This window comes from Homo sapiens, chromosome 3 (assembly GCF_000001405.40).
Source record: "Homo sapiens chromosome 3, GRCh38.p14 Primary Assembly".
In the NCBI taxonomy this organism is placed as follows: Eukaryota; Metazoa; Chordata; class Mammalia; order Primates; family Hominidae; genus Homo; species Homo sapiens.
The window spans coordinates 186255507-186280359 of NC_000003.12; the positions used below are offsets into that span (position 1 = coordinate 186255507).

The window sequence follows — 24853 nt, forward strand, 5'->3', positions numbered from 1 at the left end:
AGCACTGCAGACAGGGTGGCCAACTTGTGTGAAGGCCCTGAGGTGCAAGGGAGACTGGAACGCCCAGGGGTCTGAGAGATGGGCCGGGACCTGAGTCCAGATGGAGAGGGATGGAGGTAGAAATAAGGCTGGAAGGGTGCGCAGCAGCTGGACCACCCAGGGCCCTGTAGATTACTTCAAGGGTTTTGTCTTTATCCCAAGAATAATGGAAGCCACTGGTGTGCTTTATGCACACCATGCACCCAGTGACATGCAGGAAAGATCGCTATGGGTGTAGGGAGAGAACAGATCAGAGAGGGGACCATGGGGGGGCGCTGCAGAGCACTGAACAAGTGCTGAAATGAGAGTGAACGGATGAATATCTTACGCAGTTATCCCTTTTGCTTCTGCTTTTTTCTCTTTGGGTCACTAACCTGTGAAAAAAACTAATGTTTCTTCCTCCTTCTGTGATCTTCCTTCTTTCTGTTTTGAGCAGCTTCTATCACCTGTGTCCTCTGCGGATGAACTGCATAAAGCTCTCCGCCAAAGCCTACTTCTCCCTCATGGTGGAGAGGGAGCCGTGTGAGTAGTCCGGTACCGCAGCCATCCACCCTCTGCAGATCAGCTTTTCCTTCCTTGGCTCCCGGAGGACTCCTCCCTCCTCCCACAAACAACTCCAGAGCCCAAGGTGACAGGAGAGCGTGGGTGGCTGCTTGGCAGGGCTGTGTCCATGGCAACCAAAGCGCCCGGGGGAGTGGCGGGCGGCAGGTGTACGGTCCTGCAGCCTTCTCGCCCAGCTAGGTGGTCTACTTACAGCCCCCGGAGGCACGGCTTTCTCTGCCCTGGTCACGGTCTAGTCCTGGCTTGTCCTTGACTTCCCTCGTCCTCTCATCTCCCACATACAGTCTGTCAGCAAATCGTATTGCCTTCACCTTCTAAAGATATCCAGAAGCTGGCCACTTCTCACCACCACTCTGTTTCTCCTGTGGTCCAAGCCCTGGACATCTCTCACTTGGACTGCTGCAGTGGCCTCCGAACTGATCTCCCCGCTTCTGCCCTCTTCTCTTAATCTGTCATGTTCCTCCTTTGCTCAAAACCATCCAATGTCATGGGACCCTCCCAGTATAAAAGCCATATTCCATAGAATGCCCTATATGTCCTAGTCACCTGGCCCCTCGTCACCTCTGCTTCATCCGCTGTAGCTTTTCTCGAATCCACTCTGCTTTGACCATGCTGGCCTGCCTCCAGCAGCCTGGCCTGCTCCCACTGCAGGGCCTTCGTCTTTGCTGTTCCTTCTGCCTGGACTGCCCTTCCTCAGGTATCCACTTGACTCACCCCTCCTCCAGATCTCCATGCCAATGTTGTCTTCTCTGTCAGGTGTTAGATTGCAGCCTTGAGCTCCCTGTGCCCCTTCCCTGCTGTACTTTAAACACTTCCTGACATACTATGTCTCACTTATTTAATTGTTCATTGCCTGTCTCTTTCCTCTACATGGTGTGCTCCATGAAAGTGGAATTTTTGTCCGTTCATTCCCTGCTGTATCTCCAGTGCCTTGGGGAGAGCTTGACACATCATGGAGCACAGGCAGCATTTTTGGGATGAAGAATGGAAAGCCCAGGGCTCATCGCTCAGGGCCCAGTCTCTGACTTTGATGACTGTCCTCCCCAGTGCTCCCCCGGCCGCTTTCTTGTCCTTATATTACACTTTGCAGTGTTTGTCTGGGTTCTGTAGGGTTAGATCTTGACTCTGCTTCCATCCCAGAATTTCAGTCAGTTTCCATCACTTACTGGGGCTGATGTGTCCGAGGACCCACAGATCCAGGTAGAGCTGGGTAGAACTCAGGCTACCAGCCTTCTGGCCTGGGCCTTTTTATCTAGATGTACTCTACTGGACACAGCTCAGTGTGGTCCTTCTTTGCTTGCACTGATCTGTACTTTCTAGATGCACTTTCTGGACTCAGGCTCCGGGTGTTCATCTCAAGGTGATTTGTCCCAGGCTATGATCTATGCTTAGTTCTCTGGCCTTTACCAACCCCAAAGGGTCTGCCCAGAATTCCACTCCTGTCCTCCCACCCCCCAAATCTGGCCTGTCCTGCCACTGCCCAAACCCCAGCCATGACAGATCTGCTTTACAGGAAAGGCCTGAAACTAAACTGTTACCTCCGTATTGGAGGGAATCATTCGATTGTCTTATTTCTTTTTTTTTTTTTTTTCCACCCAAAGCAAATATTTAGTCAAGTGTTGGTCCAGGGGAAGATACAAGGATGAACAGACATGGCTCCATGTCTCTTTCTTTTTTATTGCCTTCTGCTGATTGTAAATACGCTTACTATAAATAAGCAGCAAACGCCCTCTCAGCCCATGCTTACCAATGCAATCCAAAATCCAGCCAACTGTCCCATCTCCACCACAGGCCAAAACACGGAAGTCTGGAGTATCACGGAAAAAGTTCAACCTGGGAAGAAGAAGAAAGGCCAAAATGGGCTTGTTACTAGGTTGCAGCTGACATTGATACATGTTGAGTCAGAGTCTGCCCTGTTCCCCAGGAGTATGTTAAGACCTCGATTCCTTTTGTGGTTGAAAGGGTCACTCAATGTTCTGAAACCAGAAGTTACTATGCAGTGCCTTGAATATGGAGCCAAGGCCAAGGGGGCCATCCTTGTGCAAGGATAATCTGACTCAACATTCGACACAAATGGAAAATGGTTTTCTAGAAATTCTGTACTAGTTACGCAGAGGAGTCCAGAGTTTTGGCGTCAATACAAATAGCCCCCAGTGTTTTCACTCCTCTCGGGCTCTCCTGCCTGCTCTGTCCTGACACCCGCCCTGGTAAGCAAGATGCACCGAATTTGCTGGATCTTCTCTTCACTCTCCTGTGGGCCACAGTGAGTGGAGTGATGCCCTTCTCTTCTCAGGAGCCTTAACCCTGGAGAGCAGGGTGCTTATACCTGGGGTCCACCAACCTCCAAGGGTTCTATGGATTGGATTCAGAGGGCCATTAACTTGGAGGAGAAAATAATACATTCTTATTTTCCCTAAGCTCAAACTGAAATTAGTAGTATTTCCTTCAATTCAGCATGTAGGCAACAGACCACAGAGGTTGGAACCATACCCATGACTTTGTCAGCGGTCAAAATCACAGCCATGTTAGTGTTTCATTATGGTTGTGACAGATGCCTCATACCACTGCCATGCTCATCACTGCTTGGAATTTACGGTAGTTATTAGACCCACTTCTGGGTCTTCCTATTTGACGTATTGGTGAAGCTCATATATTCTCATATCACTAATTTGTTTTACTGTTTTAATAACTGTTTTTTGATATGGTTTCCCTGGTCACCTTTTATTATTAAATTTATGCATTAAGAAATATTCCAAGAGGGGGTTTCTATGCTTCACCAGACTGCCAAGGGGGTTCCTGGCACAAAAAAGTTAAGAACCTCTGCTTTAGAATGAATGTGCCCTGCGGACACCTTGGGGGTGGAACTTGGGAAGCCTAAGGTCAATATTTCCAATCTGCCCAGCCTGGTGGTCTGAGAAGAGCCCTGGAGCTTTCAGAATCACTGATGCATGTGTAGGCAAATTAACATTCCTTCTCTTGCAGAACTCTGCTCTCCGACGGGACTCTCCGACGGGAAGTGAATTCTGAACAGACGCTCCCTCCAGCTAGGCAGCTTGTCTGATTAGAGAGTGACATGCGCATGAGAGACCCTCAGGGCGTATCAGCCCGGGAAGTAGCCACCTGGCTCGTCGTCTCAGATGAAAACAATTTAGAATACACGAGGTGAAGCTGGAGGACTGTCTGCCAGTTTTGACAGTGGGCTGGTAAAGGTGTCTGTGGGGGGCTGCTCCGTCACAAGGCTGTACTGTTCAGCAGTGATGGCAATCACGGTGACTGTGATGGCAACTGCAGTGGTGTACAGAGGTGGGCTCTGTTCTGAAATTACTTTTACAGGTAAATCATGGCAGGTGTACTGAATCCGCACTTATGTTTCTTTCTCTTTTTAACTGGGCCTTGTACTACCGCTGCCATAAACAATAGCTTTGGTGTCAGCCAACCAAAGACAGGGTCAAATTCTCTTTTCAGAGTCCTTACTCCAACCTCTCTGAGGGGTCTAGCTGAACCCGGAGCAGAAATCCTGGTTTGGAGGTTGGGCAAATGGCTGCGTGCTGGGCAAGCCCAGCCCAGAGTATGCAGACAGCCCCGGGCCCGGGGCCGGCCAGTAGAGGGCTCTCGAGCACCGGCCCGGACTGGGAGGAAGCCCAGGCTTTCCTGGCCTTCTAGCCCAGGTGCTGTAGGGGCCGCATCACAGAGACCTGCAGCTCACCATTAGCCGCAGACACAGGGACCACGCCTCCCACCAGGCCTCTTTACAACCCCATGCTAACGAGAAGAGAATAGCCAATGAGTAAGTGGCAGGAGGAGCAAAACAACCTCAAAATCGAATGATTTAGAAAACAAAAGTGATTCCATTGAACAAGTAATTGTCTTGATCCTAAAATGACCCCACAACGGAACACCAAGGCAGAACTCTGAGTCACTGTCTAGATTTCCAAACTGCTGACTGACAATGATAAGAAAACTTTCTCTTCTCTGATGATTCAGTATGAAGACACCAGCTAACAGAGCCTTGCAAATAAGTTAAAATAATTTACCAGCCTGTTCCTCCTGTCAATCAAATGAAAGGTGTGTGCAGTTTTCCCCCTCTTATAAAATAACTTTTTCTAGGACAAGCTACAGGAGGCCACTTCTCAAACAGAGTTAGCCTTCCTGGGCATCCTGAGTATCTCCAGGAGTCAGAGTCAGACGTGAGAAAAAGCAGAGAAAGGGAGTAAAATGGCAGGAAGGAACAAGTTGAGAGACGAAAGAAAAAAAAGGTGACAAAAGAGGCATCTTCATTGGAGTTTAAAAGGGAGGGGGAGAAATAAGAGGTAAAGATTGTGATCTCCATACCCTGGAGTAGGCCCCCCATTGTCCAGGTTGAAAACTTGTTTGGGGTTGAGCAGATAGTGGAATTTCCGAAGAATTCTATGGAAAAAAAAAGAAAAGGAGGGAGAGAGAGAGACAGAGAAGGAATATGTCATCGTGAGAAGTCACATTAGGGCAAACACCTCTGGAGCCCACTGGTGGCAGGGATGAGGGTTCATTTAAACCCCGGAGGGGAGGGCACTGCCTGCTGACCCTGGCGTCCAGGTTCCACCTGGCATCACCCGTGTTATCACTCCCGGTTCAAGGCTGAACTACCAACCTAGACTCCAGCTCCTAAGCCCAGAAGCATCGCCCCTTACAAAGAGGACAGGGCAGAGAAACCCAGAGAACAGAACTTTCATTCTAAAGCTTTATCCTCCACAGAGACCTTCTCCCAAATGTTCTGTATGGTCTAGGCAGTGTGATTCTGCCCTCTGCAGACTGTACAAAAGCATCACAGGACCCCCTCCTCCCCAGGGAGAGGCCCCCTGCAGTCCTGGGATCAGGAGGAAACGCAGGAGGTGGTGTTGGGCTGTGGGGGAGGGAGGGCGCTGAGAGGCCGTGACTGCACCCAGGCCTGCTTTCCTGGCTCCAGCTTGGAATTGTCAGGTCAGTTCAGGAGGGGTGTCCTGCCCCTTGGACAGGGGTGGGGGTCCTCATAGTTCTTGCTTTAACTCTACTAATTATTATTTTTTAACCTGGATTCCAGATCACGGTGCCATCTGTTAATGATCCCGGAATTGGGAGGCAGAGCTGCTTTAACCATTCTCCCTGTCCACCTGTGCTGTTCAGCAATTTCTAGCCTCCGCTGAACTGGGCATTTCAGCAAACTGATGAGGTGGATGCACTGGCTTCTCACGGGTGACGGTAGCCCAGCAGGTCCTAATCAACGGGCTGCCCATCATCTCTTAAATCAAGAGATCTGAGAGGCTAGAAAGGCACAGGCATCTCAGAGCGTGGTCTAACTCTAGTGGTCTTAATAATGGCTCACGTGGCAGGCTGTGGGCTAAGCACCGTGTCTGTTCTCACCTGTGAGAGGAGGAATGATAATTATCTCCATTTTACAGAGGGAGAAACCGAGGCCCGGGGACATTAAGTCACTTGGGCCAGGTCATAAAGTGGCAGGTGGCAGTGCTGGGATTTGAGTCTGCCTGTCTCCACAGCCTGCTGTGTTCCTGCCAAGGGGAGGAAGGGCCTGAGTCGTGTCGCCCTAGTTGCTCCACTTTGAAACAGAAGAGAACGTACCTTTCTCCTTGTCTCCCTCCACTCTTGGGGTTCACCAAGACCAGCAGGGGGTGGGTACCCGGGGTGGGGATGATCTTATACTTGAAAGGTAAAAGAAAAAGAAATTAGCTCTGCTTCATCCAATAGGGGGCGTGAGATGAGAGTTGAAGCCAAGACAGCTTCGGAGAGGCAGATGAGAAGCAGGAGGGCAGGCAGTCAGGTGTTTTTCCACTGGCTGAATTTTCGGAGGGGCTAAGTAGCTAAGTGTCTCCAGTTTGAATGGCCTTTAAGTAGTGTTAACGGAAATGAGGGTTTGAGGTCAGGATCAGCGATGGGACAATGATGCTGTAGCTTCAAATCATTCAACGATGACGTGGTCTTGTACCTACAGCACAAGATGAAATTTTGTGGGAGACACAGCTGAATATGATCTTAGAAAGCACGGCCGTCTGATCATACGCGTAAGTGAAATAGCACTCGTGGAGTGAACCACCCGCTTCCACCCTGGCGCCTTCCAAATGCTCATTTCCGGCCCCAGTTTCCTCCTGAACCCTGGTCCCACATTTCTCACTGGCCAGTGGGTAGTACTGTCGACTGGACGTCTCACCATCAGTACAAGCTCAACATGCCTCATACATGACCCATCTTCTCTCCCTATGAAACTCGGCCTTTCTCTTGGTTCCCTGTTTCTGTTATTCATCCATCCATCCAAGGAAGGTCTTGTCCTGCCAAGTCTTTCCCTGAAATGTCCCTTTACCTCTGGTAGCTGCCACAGCCCCATGCTGCTTGTGCCTTTCCCACCCTAGGTAAGTCCTGCACACCATCCCCACACAGTTCCTTCCCAGGACACCAGGTCAGCCATACCACTCTTGCCCAAAAACTTGTAAAGACATCTCATTATTAAAGGAGGATTTGGATTTTGTGGATAAAATGTAAATTTCCTAACCTGGCATCAAAGGCCTTTTCAGTCTAGCCCTATTCTACTGTTATCTCCTAATTCCTGCTAACCCTCAGCTGCAGGTGCAGCCAAGTCCTGCTCTTGCTCCTCTAGTAAGTCTAGAGTGTGTCTCTTGCATTCCCACCCATGGGTCTGCTCGTGCTTGTTTCTTCTCCCATTCCATGTCCCGAAATGCCCACTTCCTTCTTTGCAGACTACTAAAAAAATTTTTGGCTGGGCATGATCACTCACGCCTATAATCCCAACACTTTGGGAGGCCGGGGCAGGAGCATCACAAGGTCAGAAGTTCGAGACCAGCCTGGCCAACATGATGAAACCCCGTCTCTACTAAAAATACAAAAATTAGCCGGGCGTGGTGGGAGGTGCCTGTAATCCCAGCTACTCGGGAGGCTGAGGCAGGAGAATCGCTTGAACCTGGGAGGTGGAGGTTGCAGTGAGCTGAGATCTCGCCACCGCACTCCAGCCTGGGCGACAGAGCAAGACTCCGTCTCGGAAAAGAAAAACAAACAAACAAACAAACAAACAAAAAACACCACCACCACCACCAACAAAAACCTGCTTATCCTCAGGGCTCAATTCAAGAGACATCTCTATGAAGTTTCCCTTCATCATTGCAACTAAAATGATTGCACTTAAAACATGTACTATTGGCTGGGCATGGTGGCTCATGCCTGTAATCCTAGCACTTTGGGAGGCTGAGGCAGGCGGATCACCTGAGGTCAGGAGTTCGAGACCAGCCTGGCCAATATGGTGAAACCCCATCTCTACTAAAAATACAAAAATTAGCCGGGTGTAGTGGCGCATGCCTGTAATCCCAGCTACTTGGGAGGCTGAGGCAGGAGAATCGCTTGAACCCGGGAGGCAAAGGTTGCAGTGAGCTGAGATCGCACCATTGCACTCCAGCCTGGGAGACAAGAGCGAAACCCCATCTCAAAAAACAAGCAAGCAAGCAAGCAAGCAAGCAAGCAAACAAACGCACCATGTACTATCTTCTGGAGTTTCTTTTGTTGTTCATTTGTATTTTTTTTTTTTTTTACTTTCTTAGATAAATGACTCAAAACATCAACTGGATTTAAAATGCATTGGGAGCAGAGTGGGGTGTGTGTAACCCTACTACCAAGGACCCTATAGCACCAGACACAAGAGTGGGTGCTCAGCAAATACTTGTGGGTTCAGTGGAAGGATACACCAATGTGGACGCACAGCTCTGCTCCATATTCAATATCTAATGCCTGCTTTTCCAGATCTCAAGCTAAAAGTCCAGCAAACACAGTGCCATGTTGTTTGAAAAGGATAGTAGCATTTCCGATGATCTAAAAAATTTGTCTCACCTGCCCAGGGTGACTATGTGATGCCCAGAAGCATCTTGGAGGCTGAGGAATAAACCCTCACCTCTGGAGATGATATTCAACGTATTTAACAGCCAGTCCTACAGTGGGGGCTCTGCCCCATCAGAACAGATGCAAGACAACCCGATGGCTGCCTGCCCTAAACAACTGGCATACATGTATCGGGTGTGGATATGCATGCGCCTGTGTGTGTTTCCCACCTTTCTGCCCTTCTAGGTGTCTAGAGCTTTCTCACATATTAAGATTCTCCCCTCATTCGGCCTTATGTTTCACTTTTCTTTTTCTTTTTTTTCTTTTGAGACATAATCTCCCTCTGTTGCCCAGGCTGGAGTGCAGTGGCAGAATCTCGGCTCACTGCAACCTCCACCTCCCAGGTTCAAGCGATTCTCCTGCCTCAGCCTCCCGAGTAGCTGGGATTACAGGCACCTCCCACCACGCCCGGCTAATTTTTGTATTTTTAGTAGAGATGGGGTTTCACCATGTTGGCCAGTCTGGTCTCGAACTTCTGACCTTAGGCGATTTGCCCGCCTCAGCATCCCAAACTGCTGCGATGACAGGCGTGAGCCACTGCGCCCGGCCTTTTACTTTTCACAACACGTGAATCTGTATATTCTCATTTAATCTTACAGCACCTCTGGGAGGTGGGCAGGGCAGGGATTACTGTGTCTCCTTTGAGCGGAGGAAACTTAAGGCTCAGAGGCAGAGCAGGAGGCCCCGGTTTTCTATTTCCTTTTCTAGTACTCTTTGTTCCTCACCAGGCTGCCTTCCCTGCATTCCTTGGAACTCTGTGGAAGACACAAAAAATGTTCATTGCTGAACCCAAGTAAAAAAAATGAGTTCTTAAGTATACATTTAAGGATTAAGAAGAACTTTTAGATCTGGTTAGCTTCATTTTGGCAGATCATGTTCTGGAGACAGCTTGGCAATCTTGAAAAACCCATTGTCTATTTTTAGGCCACATCTTTGTTATTATTTAGGACATCTGCATATTAAAGTTTTATGTAACTTTTTCCTAAAATAGTAATAAAGCCCAATAAGACCAGCAATGGGATCAGTCAACCTTTCCTCTCACCACTTGCTGACAGTGTGGCTGTCAAAGGTAACACCAGAGGCCACAAATAAATGCCCTCCTGGGTGGTATAATTAGTCAGATGAGAAGGCAAATGCTGAGATGCTTTTCTGTAGAACCCAAACCCCGTCTTGCCCGCCACAGCCCTGGAACAACTTAGAAGGTGCAATCGGATTTAGAGCTCATGAGGTACCTGCATGACAAGTTCGCCCTTGGCGGACACGCAGCCATCAGACTTCTCACCTGGCCTGTCCTGTGACAAGAAAGGAAAGACAAGCATCTTTTGGAAAAAGAAGCCTAACACAAAGAAAGAGATCAGATGAAAAACAAACGGCTGATATAAAGAAAGAGATCAGAAAGCTAGTGTAGTATGGAGACGAGGTTTTCAACATAGGGCTTCTGACCTAAATAAAGAAATGTACCCCTATGACTTTTTCTAGGATTCTTCAGGCCTCCAGTGATGACATCACGGGCTGACTTTACCTTTGAGGCAAGGGACATAGTGGGGAGCACTGAAAGTGGCAGAATTCCACTTGGTTGATTTAGAAGCTTGAGCTCTGAGAAGAAAATTCTTAGACTTGGCGACTTGGCTTTTCTTCCTTTCTTTTTTTTTTTTTTTTTTTTTTTTGAGACGGAGTCTCGCTCTATTGCCAGGCTGGAGTGCAGTGGTGTGATCTCGGCTCACTGCAAGCTCCGCCTCCTGGGTTCAAGTGATTCTCCTGTCTCGGCCTCCTTAGTAGCTGGGACTACAGGTGCGTGCCACCACGCCCAGCTAATTGCTAATTTTCTTGTATTTTTAGTAGAGATGGGGTTTCACCATGTTGGCCAGGATGGTCTCGATCCCTTGACCTCGTGATCCGCTGGCCTCAGCCTCCCAAAGTGCTGGGATTACAGGTGTAAGCCACTGCGCCTGGCCGTCGACTTGGCTTTTCGGCTGAGCACTATCTAATGATATGATATTGTCATTTTTCTTGGTTTTGTTTGTTTTTCTAATGTTTATTTTATTAAGGTTTTCTCACATATAGTAAAATGCTCAAATCTAAATTGTACAGCTTGATGAATTTTGTATATGGGGATGGCCTCGTAACTACTACCTCTTCAAGCATAACCCTGTTGTGACTCCTGATACCACATGGGTTTTGCCTGGCTTTTGAATTTCATATAATGGATTCATAGAGCATATCTTTTCGAGTCTAGCTTCTTTGGTTCAGCATTATGTTTTTGAGATTCTCCATGTTTTTACTCTATGCATAGTTTGTTCTTTTCCATTGCAATGTAGTTTCCCATTCTATGAATGCCAGATGCCGATATGCCTCAATTTATTCATCTATTCTCCTGTTAATGGTCATTTAACTTGTTTCCAGTTTTTAACTGTTATGAATAAAGCTGCTATGAGCATTCTTGTGCATGTCTTTTGGTGGAATAAATGCTTGTATTTTCCAGGTAGATGCACTGGAGGAGAATTTTTGAGTTATGGAGTTTGTATATTTCCAATACAGTAAATATTGCTAAATGATTTTCCAATGTGTTGGTATTTTTCAGGGTTTTTTATTTTTATTTTTGAGACAGAGTCTCACTCTGTCACCCAGGCTGGAGTGCAGTGGTGTGATCTTGGCTCACTGCAACCTCCACCTCCCAGGTTCAAGCAATTCTCCTGCCTCAGCCTCCCCAGTAGCTGGGATTACAGGTGCCCACTACCACGCCTGGCTAATTTTTGTATTTTTAGTAGAGATGGGGTTTCACCATGTGGCCAGGCTGATCTAAAACTCCTGACCTCAGGTGATCCGCCTGCCTCAGCCTCCCAAAGTGCCGGGATTACAGGCATGAGCCACCGTGGCTGGCCTTTTTCTCAGGTTTTTAATGACAAAGAAGTAGCTGGTCAAGTCCAGAGTGAGATGTGAGGAATGGGTGGGACTTGCAACATTTTTAAGATGGGAAGATGGCAAAATTAAGTGTTTGACGCTTGTTTGAAAGAGGAGTCTTCAACACAGGCGACAACGTGCCAGGTGGGGGTAAAGGAGCTTAATTTTGCTGCTTTCATTTCCAAATCAGGCTGAGACATCCAAGTGGAAACTCAGGAAGTAGAGGGAGATACTGTTTGGATGTGGCAGGGAGATTGACAGAGATGAGGGAGGTTGGGAGCCTGGCCATGCATAGGTGGTGACTGAGGTTCCTTGTGCTGTGCTCTGCCTGCAAAAGGCTTAGAACAAATGTGCTTTCCTTGCTGGGTCATTTCAGGGTACTCGGGGTGGTCAGCAATTGGCAACAGTTTAGTCAGAGAAGATTTCTCTCAAAATCTGATCTGTGCAGCGCTGACCTCTTTCAAGCACATACTGAAAGCACAAACCCAACAGAGAGGAGCAGAAAAGATTAACAACTGGGCACTGGGCTAAAAACCCAGGTGATAAGATAATCTGCACAACAAACTCCCGCAAGACGTGTCTGCCTGTGTAACAAACCCTCCCATGTACTCTCTAACCTAAAATAACAGTAAAAAAAGAAAGAAAAGAAAACACAAACCCAAAGAGTTGTCAGGGAAGCCCTGGGAAGGATGTGAATGTCTGAAAGCTGCCTACATCTGAAACCAGAACCCGGAGAAGCTACAGCCCTCGCCGGGGCAGGAGCACTTACCCGGGTGATGGGGCATATGGAGGTGGGCAGTAAGATGTGGTCTCTGAGTTCCCCACCGTCACACAACGTTGATAATTCACATTTGCGGTGAAACTGGGGGGAGAAATGAAAAAGAGAGTGAGTGAAAGTGAGCAAAGAAACATCAAACATGAAGGTGGAGAGGTTTGGGGGAGAGGTGAGCTGTCTAGTGCTCCCCCAAATCCTGATGCACTGCTGGCTTTGACAGTATTGCCGTGTGTGTGTGTGTGCACGTGTGTGTGTGTGGTTAAGGGTGCAAAGTCTGCTGTGGGCTGAGCAAAGAGGCCAAGAGCCGCTCATGGCTACTGAAGCGACACAGTCATGAGCCGGCCTGTGACCCTTCAGTGTGGCACCCCATGTTGATTCCAGAGCCCCCTTAGATATGTGCTCTCCAGGCCCTGAGACTCTGGGAGGAGGGAGATGTTGATGAACAAACTCATGGATGGCTGAGAGTAAACCTTGTGATTCAACCTTTGTATTTTGAGAGTTCTGCAGTCTGGTTTGGAGAAACCTACATTTTGAGGCTGATACCTGGGGAGAAGGACAAGAGCTGGCAGTGAGTTTTGACAGGCAGGTTGGCCAGCTCAGTGGCTGCCAGTGGCATTCTGGGTGTCTAGTGGGGCTGTGGACTCTAGCATGTGCTGTGGCTGGTGGCAGCAGGTCCAAACCTTTGGCCCAGGCAGTGGGGCTGCTCTGAGGAATGTGCCTTCAGGGCAGGCACCCCCTCCTATGATGCTCCTGTTGTCCAATTTTTCTCCCACTCTGTCAGTGTCCCCGGCCCTAGGTGATAGCCAGGTAAAAGAAGTTCATAGTCGGGGCTGCTGATCCCAGCTGCCAGGCCACACAGACAGTGGACTGGCCAGCTTCTTCTTCAGCAGTCCTCACTCCCCTGGTTCGGGGGTGCCCTCTCTCTGGGCAGCTTGGTAATTCACTGGAGCATCGTTAGGCTGAGGGCATTGAATAGGCGCTGTGGGGTCCTCCTAGCCTCGCTCCCCTGGCTTTGCTCATGCCCTCTGGCCGGATATTCACTGCTCCTGGGCTGCAGCTTGGGCAAAAAAACGTTGAAAAGAAGCAGGGCCGCCCTGGGCGCCAACCCACCGTCATCCGGCACCACACGCAGTGCCGCGCGGTGACACTCTGGTAGCACTTGATACTTTTGTGGCACCGGTCACACTTGACGGAGGAGTTCCCTTCCACCCATGCGTGCTGCATCACCTGCGGGAGGGAAGCGAACGATGCCAGGGAAAATGGCAGAACCATGTCCCCGGGGCCCTGGGCTGGAGGAGAAGGATCTGGGAGGGGACGCGGGGGAGCCAGAGGGACTGTTTCCTATTTAGAGGATGCTTATTGGATGTTGGGTGGCTTGCCTAATGGCACGATGTGGTTCCTCCCTGCCTAACCGCCATTATGCGAATCAAAGTAGATTAAAAGCTCGCTTTGCCACATTTTGAACAGCTCAATCGCCCTGGAAGGCAGGCCTCTGAGCAGCATCTTGTCTGGCAGTCCATCTGTTTGTCTTGCAGAACGCCTTGCAGAGTGATGTGTTTGTATGCGCCCTCTTCTGGAAGGCAGCATGGTGCAGAGGAACTCTGGAGGGCTTGGGTAGGCCACAGACAAAACTGGCTGGAGTCCCTTTGAAGTGGTGGCCTTTGGCCAGTTCTTAGACCTCTCTGAGTCTCAGGTCCCTGACCTGTGGGAATTGGTATAAGAAGTCCCACCTCTGGGGTTACTGGGGCAATGCAATGAGATAGCACATTTTGAAGGGCCTCCCTGGTGCAGTCCTGGCCCTTTGGGAGTACCCACAATTGGGTAATGCCCTTCTCCTTCCTCAGCTTTAGCTGCCCATTAGAAGTACCTGGGGGAGCTTTTAGACATCCTAATGCCCAGCCGACACTCCAGACCAAATAAATTAGAGTCTTTGAGGGTGGGGCACATGATTAATATGTTTTAAAGCACTCTGGGTAATTATAACGTGAAGCCGAGACTAAAAAGCACTCTAGAAGGAAGTTAGAGAAAAGTCCAAAGAAGTTAGTGAGGGTCCATTGGTGCTTTTCACACCTGTTTCCTGGGGAGCTGGTTGTATCTGCTCCGTGACCAGGAAAGACCACCAGGGCAGGCTAGGCACTTGGAAACAGGTGGGAATAGTGGGATTGTTTTTGTATGTGTGTGTCAGTGCGGCTAAAGCAAGAGCAGCTGGCTAGTAGCCCCACTGTCTGGGAGGCTGAACCCTCAGTTCCCTCCCCCTGGAATTCTCACCAAAATTCTCACTCAAAAATTTTCACTATGGTACCACAAATAACAGAAGGAAGTGGATATGGACTCTGGGAGAAGGTGGGGGACATACCCTGAAGTGCCTAGCCACAAGCACGGTATTAAAAACCCAGGAAATATCTGCGTGATTCTGTCCAGGTTTGTATTAAATAAGAATAAACGTGTTTTTTTTGAGACAGTCTCACTCTGTCGCCCAGGCTGGAGTGCAGTGGCATGATCACAACTCACTGCAGCCTCGATCCTCCAGGTTCAAGCAATCCTCCCAGCCCAGCCACCCAAGTAGCTGGGACTACAGGCACATGCCACCACACCAGGCTAATTTTTGTATCTTCTTTTTGTAAAGACAGGATCTCACCATGTTGCCCCGGCTGGTCTCAAACTCCTGGGCTCAAGCTATTGGCCCTTGTCAGCCTCCTAAAGTTCTGGGATTACAGGTGTGAGTGACTGCACTTGGTCCAAGAATAAATGTTTTAAATTACTTAGCAATTAAGTTGCTTAAGGCCTCCCCTAAGAATGTTTTTGGCAAAATTATTGCTTTGGAAGATGTGTCACGTTTGGTTGGTAGCTTATCACCTTGTGCCTTGCACTTCTGAGGGTGTAAAGAACTCAGTTTGCCAATTAATCTGTCATCTACATGGCCACAATTGAATTTGCTCTGAGATTATTATTTCCATTTTGCAGAGGAAAAAATGAAAGTTTCAGAGAGGTTAAGTGACTGGCCCTAGGTTCCAAGGCTGGTAAGCGGCCAAGTAGGGTTTCCTAGCCAGGTCTTCTGACCCCAAGTCCAGGGCTGTTTCCCCAACACCACATCGCCTTACCCATTCTCTTTGGGATCTGAGGAGATGGTGAAAGACTGGGTTGCTCCTGCAGGCTGAGAAGTTTGTGAGTGTGCCCTGCTGGCCCCTCATTGGCCTCACTCTGTTCTCTGTGTGACAGGTGGCCAGAGTGCAGGCTTAGGGCCTGCGTCCAGCAGGTACACCGTGTGTCCCGGTGAAAGGCATGGACATGGAGCAGGGTGTGCATGGGGTGGTGCAGAAGGCGTGGACGAGAGACCATGCAGTGTCCATGGGGCATGCACACAAATTCTAGGAGGTGCCTTTCTCTACCAGGAGTCCTTCTGCAGGAGGGCTGGGTACCACTCTCATGGCTAACTGTCTCCTGACTCACACTCCTCCATGTAATCTTCCCTTTTCAGGAAGGCTAAGTGCCCTTCCCCTGCTAATTTTAAGGTAAGTCTATTTCCAGACTTGGAGAATGGCGTCACCCAATGACCGAGTTAGAAACCTGGGAGCCATTCCCTACCTTTTCCCTTCTCTCATCCTCCGCATCCCCATCACCATGTCCTGGTCCTAGTGGTGGTACTTCCAAATTACCTCTCAAGCTCTCCCTTCATTTTCTCTCCTTTAGCCAGTGTGACAGTCAAAATACCCAATAACCAGCATGGCCTGGGGGACCCTCAGCACAGGACCATCCTAGAGCAGTGAGTGTGGATCCCACCCCAGTCGGGCCCTCAGCGCAGTACTGCCTTTTACCTCAAGTATTGGAAGAGTTTCCCTCCCCTGATTTCTCTCCCACATCACACTCAGAGCTATTAACCTAATTCACAAATTCGATCACATCTTTATGTGCTTGAAGCTCTTCAGTGGCCCCCGGCTGCACAGAAAACACCTTTCTCACTCAGCTGGCCTCATAAGACCTGCTTCAGGCCAGATCTCACCACTTTCTGAGTGCATCTCCTGCCACTTCCCTTTAAGCATCCTCTGCCCCAGCTATGCCAAACTAAGTATGAATCCCGGAATAAGCCGTGTCTCATGCCTTTACACATGAGGCTTCCTCTGCCTGGAGAGTCTGGTCCTCCTCGATGCCTCATGAAGTCCTCCCAATTTGTGTTCAAGACACAACTGCAATGCCAGCTCCTTTGTGCAACTTGCCCCGTGCTTCCACTGTACCTTCCACACAGCTGTGTTACTGTAGCACACATCTCACTATTCTGTTCTTTGCTTACATGCCCGTCTCTCCTTCTAGACAGCATAGTTCTTGAGCAGGCTGGGGAGCGTCTCTTACAACCTGTGTACCCCCTAGCATGGTGCCTGGCACATAGTGGGTACCAGGAAGGTGCTGAATGGATGGATGGATGAACGGGATGGTTTACAGGTGGTCCTCAAGGCAGAGAAGGGACTGGATGAAGCTCCCAGTGCCCCTTCCTGCCCAGGAATCCATGTTGATGGACATGTTTCCTGGATGAGGCATGCAGTAGAACAAGGCAGTAGATGTCACCAACCTCACCACTCCTTTTGGCTTTTGAGTACGTTTTGACACAACCAGGAATGTTTCTGGACACACAGCGTTCGTGGACAGTGTATTTACAGTCTGAAAAGAAAAAAAGTCAAGGCAGGTGCTTGTGAATAGCCACGTAGGAAAGGCCCAGCTGCCCTCCCACCCTAGCCAAGGTCTGTACCTCCCTTTGGGTGGCTGGCGAGGGGCAGGGGACACATGGGGCTGGTCTTGCCTAACGGAAATTCAAAACAGTCTCTAATTGTTCTTGGAGGACAGAGACCCTGCTTATCTGCTGCGGCTGCACCTCCACCTGCTTCACTGCCTTCCTCTGCAGGCAATGAACACAGCAGGAGCACATCCCCAGAAAGGCGCTTTTTCCTGAAGGGGAGTGTGCGGCATCATCCTCCTGGCTATGCCAGTGCCACTGTATTGCATGCCCGGGACATTGGAAAATGAATAGAAAGGCCAGGGCTTTTTTTTGTTTTGAGATGGTGTTTCGCTCTTGTTGCCCAAGCTGGAGTGCAATGGTGTGATCTCGGCTCACTGCAACCTCCGCCTCCCGGGTTCAAGCGATTCTCCTGCCTCAGCCTCCCGAGTTGCTGGGATTACAGGCGTTACAGGCGTGCACCACCACGCCCGGCTAATTTTTTGTATTTTTAGTAGAAATGGGGTTTCACCATGTTAGCCAGGCTGGTCTCGAACTCCTGACCTCAGGTGACCCACCCGCCTCAGCCTCCCTAAGTGCTGGTGTAAGCCACCGCACCTGGCCAAGGTCAGGGCTTTTGAAGGCTAGGCAGGCCCCCGTGACAATCCACATGACCTTGGGTAAATTGTTTTACCTCTCTGAAATTCAGGGTTTTCTGTAAAAAGGGAAGAAAACGGCCTCTCTTTCTCTTTCTCTTTGCAGGGATTGTTGCAGTAGTACATGAGATAGTTTGTGTAAAGCATCACGTGTCTGGGTCAGAGTAGCTATTCCACACATTATTGCTGTTGTTTTTACTACCATTATGTGAACAGCAGAGGCCCACGGGCCTAGAACTTAATGGGAATGAGATTGATCTATAAAATGTGGGTAAGAGCTGGGTTTGAACTGGCGCTGGGGAGACTGTTGTACCCCTTTTTTTTTTTTTTTTTTTTTTTTTTGAGATAGAATCTCACCCTTTCACCAGGCTGGAGTGCAGTGATGCAATCTCGGCTCACCGCAACCTCCGACTCCCTGGTTCAAGTGATTTTCCTGCCTCAGCCTCCCGAGTAGCTGGGATTACAAGCATGCGCCACCATGCCCAGCTAATTTTTGTATTTTTAGTAGGGACGGGGTTTCACCATGTTGGCCAAGATGATCTTGGTCTCCTGACCTCGTGATCCACCCGTCTTGGCCTCCCAAAGTGCTGGGATTACGGCGTGAATCACCGCGCCAGGCCTGGCGGACCCCTTCTTTAGCCCGTTGATGCTTGGTCTTTGTGGACAGCGGGCCCAGCTCTGCCAAGGCGACTTCTGTGGCTGAGGTCACTTGCTGCCTAATTCACACGTGCATGTTGGATAAAGCACTTCAGCCTGGAGCACAGCCAGCGGGCCTCCCTGCAGCAGCAGCTCCCCGGTGTCTGGTGGGTTCAGGCTGAGTGTTGCTGTCCACATCACGGGGCGGGCGGCAGGGCTCTGTGCACCCACATATTCTGGTGCCTGCCATGCCTTCTTGCTGCAGCCCCTCTGCCTTCTCCTCCTGCTCCCTGTGTCCCCTTCTTTCCTACTCCTTATCACTCTTTTCCCCCATCTCTTTTTGCTGTCTCCCTTTCCAGTCTTCCTCTCTGCTTTTTCCTCTACCACTTGTAGTTTTTTCCACCTTTCCACTCTGACTTTACTAAAGGAATTAAAAAGTGAAACAACTGTAGAGTTTTAATTCCTATTGCCTTTACAGAATGTAAAATGCTTTTTTTGTTTGTTTGTTTTTTGTTTTTGAGACAGGGTTTCACTCCGTCATCCAAGCTGGAGTGCAGTGGTGCAATCTCAGCTCACCGCAACCTCTGCCTCCTGGGCTCGAGTGATCCTCCCACCTCAGCCTCCTGAGTAGCTGGGATTACAGGCGCATGCCACCATGCCCAGCTAATTTTTTTTTAGTATTTTTATTTTTTATTTTTTTATTTTTATTTTTTATTATACATTAAGTTCTAGGGTACATGTGCACAATGTGCAGGTTTGTTACATGTGTATACATATGCCATGTTGGTGTGCTACACCCATTAACTCATCATTTACATTAGGTATATCTCCTAATGCTATCCCTCCCCCCTCCCCCCACCCCACGACAGGCCCCAGTGTGTGATGTTCCCCACTCTGTGTCCAAGTGTTCTCATTGTCCAATTCCCACCTATGAGTGAGAACATGCGGTGTTTGGTTTTATGATCTTGCGATAGTTTGCTCAGAATGATGGTTTCCAGCTTCATCCATGTCCCTACAAAGGACGTGAACTCATCCTTTTTTATGGCTGCATAGTATTCTATGGTATATATGTGCCACATTTTCTTAATCCAATCTATCATTGATGGACATTTGGGTTGGTTCTAAGTCTTTGCTGTTGTGAATAGTGCCACAATAAACATACGTGTGCATGTGTCTTTATAGCAGCATGATTTATAATCCTTTGGGTATATGCCCAGTAATGGGATGGCTGGGTCAAATGGTATTTCTAGTTCTAGATCCTTGAGGAATCGCCACACTGTCTTCCACAATGGTTGAACTAGTTTACAGTCCCACCAACAGTGTAAAAGTGTTCCTATTTCTCCACATCCTTTCCAGCACCTTAGTATTTTTAGTAGGGACAAGGTTTCTCCATGTTGGCAGGGCCGGTCTTAAACTACAGGCCTCAAGCAATCCACCTGCTTCTGCCTCCCAAAGTGCTGGGATTTCAGGTGTGAGCCACCGTACTTGGCCCCAAATGCTTATTAATTTTTAAAAAATAAGTTTCCTCTGAACATACCCAGAATAAATATTGACTAGAAAACCCAACTAAAAGTAGTATGAGAAATTTTAAATTATTTGTGGACTTTAATAATTTCTTCTAGGGGGTCAGTGGCTCATAAAAAGCCTCCAATAATAAATAGTCCAAGACCTGTCCATTGGACTTGGGTAGGGTAAAAACAGGACATGAAGGCCTCGCTTTATTCCTTCTGTTGGGACAATATGGGTGGTCCCTCAAGCTGGGAAGCAGAAATACCAACATTTTCTCTGCAATGGATCAACCAACCATGCGCAGAGCAAGATAGTGCCTGGGGGAAGAGGTTTGAAGGAAATTTACTCACAAGTGCAGCACAGGCCTTGCTTGCGGACGCCCATGAGCATGATATGGCAGAAGTTGCAGTAGGTTGGTTTCTTGAAGTGCTTCATGGTCCAGGCGTGCCGCCCATCCCCCTTGGAGCCCTGCAGGGGTAATAGGAGGTGAGACCCCAAGCTGGCTGCCCTGAGATGGAGGAAGCCAGGGGCTGCCTCTTGCATGTTCTTCCTTTTCATCTCATTTAGAAGATGAGTTATTGATATTTTTTACTGTTTTAAATACAAATAAAAACAAAATTTTTGTGTGTGTGTTTTAAAAATTAGCAAATATTAAAAGCAAGAAACATCTGAATGGAAGCATGTGTGTGTGGGATAAAATAAATCCTCTCCCGCATGGCTGGCAGAAGCATAAACTGAACAACAATCTGATCTATCTATCTATCTATCTATCTATCTATCTATCTATCTATCTATCTATTATCTATCATCTATCTATCTATCTCCTTTAAATGTTTACAACCTTTGACTTACCAATATCTCCTTTTCGACTTTATCCTAAATAAATAATTTTTAAAAGGCAGATGAGCCTTTTTGTGCCCTGCCAGATGCTTAACCCAGCATTATTTAAAATAATGAAAAGCTGGAAATATCCTAAAGGTCTCATAATTACCAAAAGGCTAATGATAGTACATCCGTCTGATGTAATGTTAGGTGGCAATCAAAAAGATATTTATAAGACTATCTAATGGCATGGGAATGTGCTCATGATACAATGTTAAGCGAAAAAACAGAATGCCATTTCGATGATATGTTATGATTTCAGTTTTATATAATAGATCTTTGATGGGAAGTAATTTCATTAACCTGTTAACAGAGGTTGGCTATAGCTGGCAGCAATATGGATTTATTGTATTCTCTGATTTCTACTTTCTGCTGTGTGTTCCAAATGTTTTACAGTGTGCATGTACTAGTGTGATAATCAAGATGAAAGAGTTTAGTAAAAACAATGTATTTCTCCTATCAACTTTCGGTACGCAGAAAAAATAGTGAAAAGACAGACAGAGAAAGGGTTAGACCATCACCTCCTGACTTTGTTCAGAAGTGAAATCATCTGCATCTACTAGGTACACCAAGCCTCACACAGTGACACCCACATCTCCCACATCCCATCCCAGGGGAACACAGCACAGCTTGAGGAATGTCCCTCCTGCATGTGCTATCCCTGAACTTTTCTCATAGGCTCCATTACAAGAGTAACACTCTTGGGCTGGTTTCATGATCAGTAAAAGCTACGGTAAGGTGATGAGGATCGATGGTCATGGATGTAGTGTCCAATATGCGGGACTCAAATGTAATTCTTACTTCTGGGGTGCGTATGCATTTGGGCTGGTCACTGCAACCAGACCTCAGCCTGTGCCCAGGCTTCTTTTATGATCTCCAGAGGAGCTCACATTCTTTTCCAAATGCTGGCTTTCTCCTCTGGGCCAGAGAAGCTATTTTCTTCTCATTACCTCAAACCCTGCTTCTTCCAGGACATGAGTTTTATAGAATTAAAACCCTCTTATCTAACGGTCTCCACTTTAGTAAATGCATTCACAAACTGATAATGATTCATCAAAAGATTGATTCATTCATTTATTCGTTTGACCAACATCTACCTCAAGGGCTTTTTGTAAGAATTAAATGACATCATGTAAGTAAAGCTTCTAGTTCAATGCCTGACATATTGTAAATTCAAACTTTCATTAAATTCTTATTCCATTCCAGATGCCGGAAGACACAAAATAAACTAAAAAGTGTTTGTTGACGTGGAAGGAGGTAGATTTGTTCCCATTCTAGAAATGAGAAACAGAGATTTGGAGAAGTTCGGTAACTAGCCCAAGCCCACATAGATAATGAGGGACTGAATGAGTAGTCAGACTTGGGTCTTTTGCTGGCCAGAGCCCATGCTCTTTCCATCCTGCTCCTCTACCTCACAAGCCAGGGTTTTCCTGTATGGGTAGAAGGAAAATGATAGCACTCTTCAGCAGACTTCTTCGTGGAGCCCAAAGGATTGTCAGTGTATCTGAAAACACCTCTAGTAGCTAAGTCAGTTAGCTCATCCCCCTTTCTCAGCTACTATTTTTATGGATATAAGAAGTGCATGGACCGTGACTTGGGATAAAGTAACGTTTCTGCTTGGGTTATAGCACCATCATGTGGCTCTTTCCTTTCCACATGATGGTGGCTGCAGAACGTGGGCGTAGCCTTCCTCGTGCTCACCAGGTTTTATGCTGCTGCTACGATTTTCCTGGGAGAGAGTCTGTTTTGCAAATATCTCATTCAGTGATTCCCCAGACTTTTCAGTGGTTGTATGTGGGTTTTGAAAAAGCCCAAGAAGCAATGGACTTTTAAGACATTGATGGGGGCTTTCTCCAAAACCCCAAATAGTAAGTGTTAAAAACTTTTAAAGTACATATTTAAAAATAAGTGCATAAAACTCTTGATTAATAAAACTAAACTTGCATTGGCCACTTTCCTGATATAAATGAGAGTTTTCTACAAGGCTGATCTGGCATTTAGGGGAGACATTTGGGAGAATGCTGAGGAAGTAGATGGGCTCTCCTTCCTCCTGCCACAAGACAGCGGGTCTTTTCCATGCAAAGAGTTGGTGGTATTTTGAACCTCAGCAAGTCCAAAGTAGAACAGAAAATGGAAATTGATTCCCTGTAACTAAAATGTCCCATCTTTATTCCCTAAATGAGAAAAAAAAAATGGTGTTTTGGAACAGAACTTCCATTTTGTCTTGAGTATAATCTTAAGTGAGTAAAGTCAGCAGAAAGCATATCTAACTTATCTGAGCCCTTCCAGTTCCTGGATCACATGGGTTCTTGTACATAAAGCTTCTTGGCAAGGGATCATTGGGTGAGAGGCGTGATGTGAGCGAGTAAGGGGGATGATCTCTGGTGCTAGTTCGGTGGATGTCCTTGGGCAAGTTCCTTCATTTCTCTGGGTCTCAGTTTGTAAAAGAAAGGGGATCAACCAGGGACCACAAAGATCTTTTCCAGCTTGACTTTCTAGGGTTCTAAGGAATAAGAAGGGGGTCATGTAGATCCTGGTTCCTTGATTTCTCCTTAGAGCTTGGAAAGCACTGGACATGCTATGAAATGATTGCAAGATTCATAGTTCTTGAGCTTCAGAAATGGGGGCTCAGCTTTAGTCCTGAATTGCAGAGCTATGAAATGAAGATATTATAGGCAACTTGGTCAGCTAGAGGCTCACCCAGCTGCACTTGCTGCCCTGTTCCTCTCTATGGAATAGTCTCAAAGAGGTGTAATCTTTGAGATCTGTAATCTCAAAGTAGTGTTGTCACACAACTGGTGTGACTAGTAAACGCTTAATGTCACCATTTGTGCTCCTACTAGTTTTAGTCTTCCCTACCTCATGCATGGAAGTGAGTTCACTTGGTAAATAGGTGGAGAATACAGTAACTGGGTCAGATGAAGGTATATATAACAATCAGTTTCACATTAAGCCTGTACACATATGCCCTACTCTGATCAAATGGGAGATTTGCCTAACACACCCAGAACTTTCTTTCATTTGTGTTTTTAATCAAGCTGTTCTCCAAGCCATAAACTCTCTCTAGGTCTTTAAGGCCACCTGCTCTTTATTCTCAAGAATGGGACATCAAAATCTCATGCATTCTTCAGGGACAAGTCAACACCTTCCAAGGTTTCTTCCCACTGGCCTAACTCTCATGTGTGGGATATTACAAAGTGCAACATCTTTGGTGTCAGAGACAAATCCTCACTCCTCCTTTTGCTCCTTAGGGTCAGAACCTCAGTTTTCCATCTGTATAAATTGGGATAAAAATATTTACCTTATCTGGTTGTTTTGATTATTAAATAAGATACCACTAATGGAAGCCACCCCCACAACAGATCCGTATTTTTTCCTCTCTCCCTTCGTTCTTTCCTCTCACCCTTCCTTCCCCAATTCTCTTAGCATTTTTAAACCTAATTTGTTGAAAAGACAGAATTCTTCTTTGAAGTTTGTGGCCCTTTGCCTGGTTGAGTATAAGGTTCTTGCAGGCAGATAATGTGTCTGTATTCCCTCACAGCATGCAGAACAGTATTTTTAAAGTAGTAATAATGTAGTAAATGTCTGTCAAATGAATATACTTCAGGCACTAATGGATACAAAATAATGTAAATAGAGAGGACTTTGGGGCTGGTCATGGCACGTCTGTTGGGCAGTCTGGAGCAGAAGCCAAAGTGATATGTTGATATTAACATGAAGCCCAATGTTCCTGAATGGCAAGAGATCTCTGAACTCCAGCTTGTTGACTTACAGAGTCATCCATCCCCAGGAGGACCAGCAATGGGATGGTGGTCATCCCTCCATGGACCCATTCCTGTAGAGACACAAAGCCGTCCCGGTCGTAGTCCATCCCTTGCAGCATCTCCTTCAATATCTGTGGAATCCAAAGAGCAATCATTGTCCATTTTCATCATCGACATGTCTACCTGCCTTCTGCCTCTGCTGTCTTGTTCATCTTGCATTATCTGGTTTGTGTTTTACCCCTTTCCCCTCCTGTTAAGTGTGAATAGAGCAGACTGGGAGTGAGGAGGCCAGGCTTCCAGGTCTGGCTCTGCCCTTGGGCCTTGGGCCAGTCACCCTGACTCTGTGGGCTCTGGTTTGCTTATCTGTAAAAATGGAAATAATATTGTTGTGTTTGTGGCACTGTAGCAGGGATTAGAGAAAATGAATGTAAAGTGAATAACAAAATACCTGACACATAGGAGCCCCCAAATGTAATTATTCTTATAATTCATATTATCTGGTGATTGAGGAAGATCT

General features: G+C 47.4%; 1 protein-coding gene across 3 annotated transcripts in view, besides 3 other annotated features; it reads right to left on the minus strand.

Moving 5' to 3' along the window:
• Positions 1-24853, minus strand: part of DGKG (diacylglycerol kinase gamma) — a 215034-nt gene that overhangs the window by 108306 nt on the left and 81875 nt on the right. The window contains exons 9-17 of one of the 3 annotated variants that reach the window (NM_001346.3): positions 24345-24467; positions 20041-20158; positions 16749-16837; positions 13295-13411; positions 12179-12271; positions 9741-9800; positions 6193-6272; positions 4933-5007; positions 2348-2433 (exon numbers count right to left, since the gene is read on the minus strand). In NM_001346.3, coding sequence (NP_001337.2) covers positions 2348-2433; positions 4933-5007; positions 6193-6272; positions 9741-9800; positions 12179-12271; positions 13295-13411; positions 16749-16837; positions 20041-20158; positions 24345-24467 — 841 coding nt within the window. The remainder of the gene's footprint in view (positions 1-2347; positions 2434-4932; positions 5008-6192; positions 6273-9740; positions 9801-12178; positions 12272-13294; positions 13412-16748; positions 16838-20040; positions 20159-24344; positions 24468-24853) is intronic. The other 2 variants (NM_001080745.2, NM_001080744.2) reach the window with 2 other exon arrangements.
• Positions 21-70: an enhancer, noted in NCBI's record as "active region_20937". NCBI's record gives its function as "activates an Ori minimal core promoter by ATAC-STARR-seq in GM12878 lymphoblastoid cells {active_cell/tissue: GM12878}" and the evidence as "EXISTENCE:reporter gene assay evidence [ECO:0000049][PMID:35858748]".
• Positions 651-730: a silencer, noted in NCBI's record as "silent region_14982". NCBI's record gives its function as "represses an Ori minimal core promoter by ATAC-STARR-seq in GM12878 lymphoblastoid cells {active_cell/tissue: GM12878}" and the evidence as "EXISTENCE:reporter gene assay evidence [ECO:0000049][PMID:35858748]".
• Positions 13344-13516: a silencer, noted in NCBI's record as "fragment chr3:185986639-185986811 (GRCh37/hg19 assembly coordinates)". NCBI's record gives its function as "represses an EF-1alpha promoter that drives an FKBP-Casp9 reporter gene in an ReSE screen in HepG2 liver carcinoma cells {active_cell/tissue: HepG2}" and the evidence as "EXISTENCE:reporter gene assay evidence [ECO:0000049][PMID:32094911]".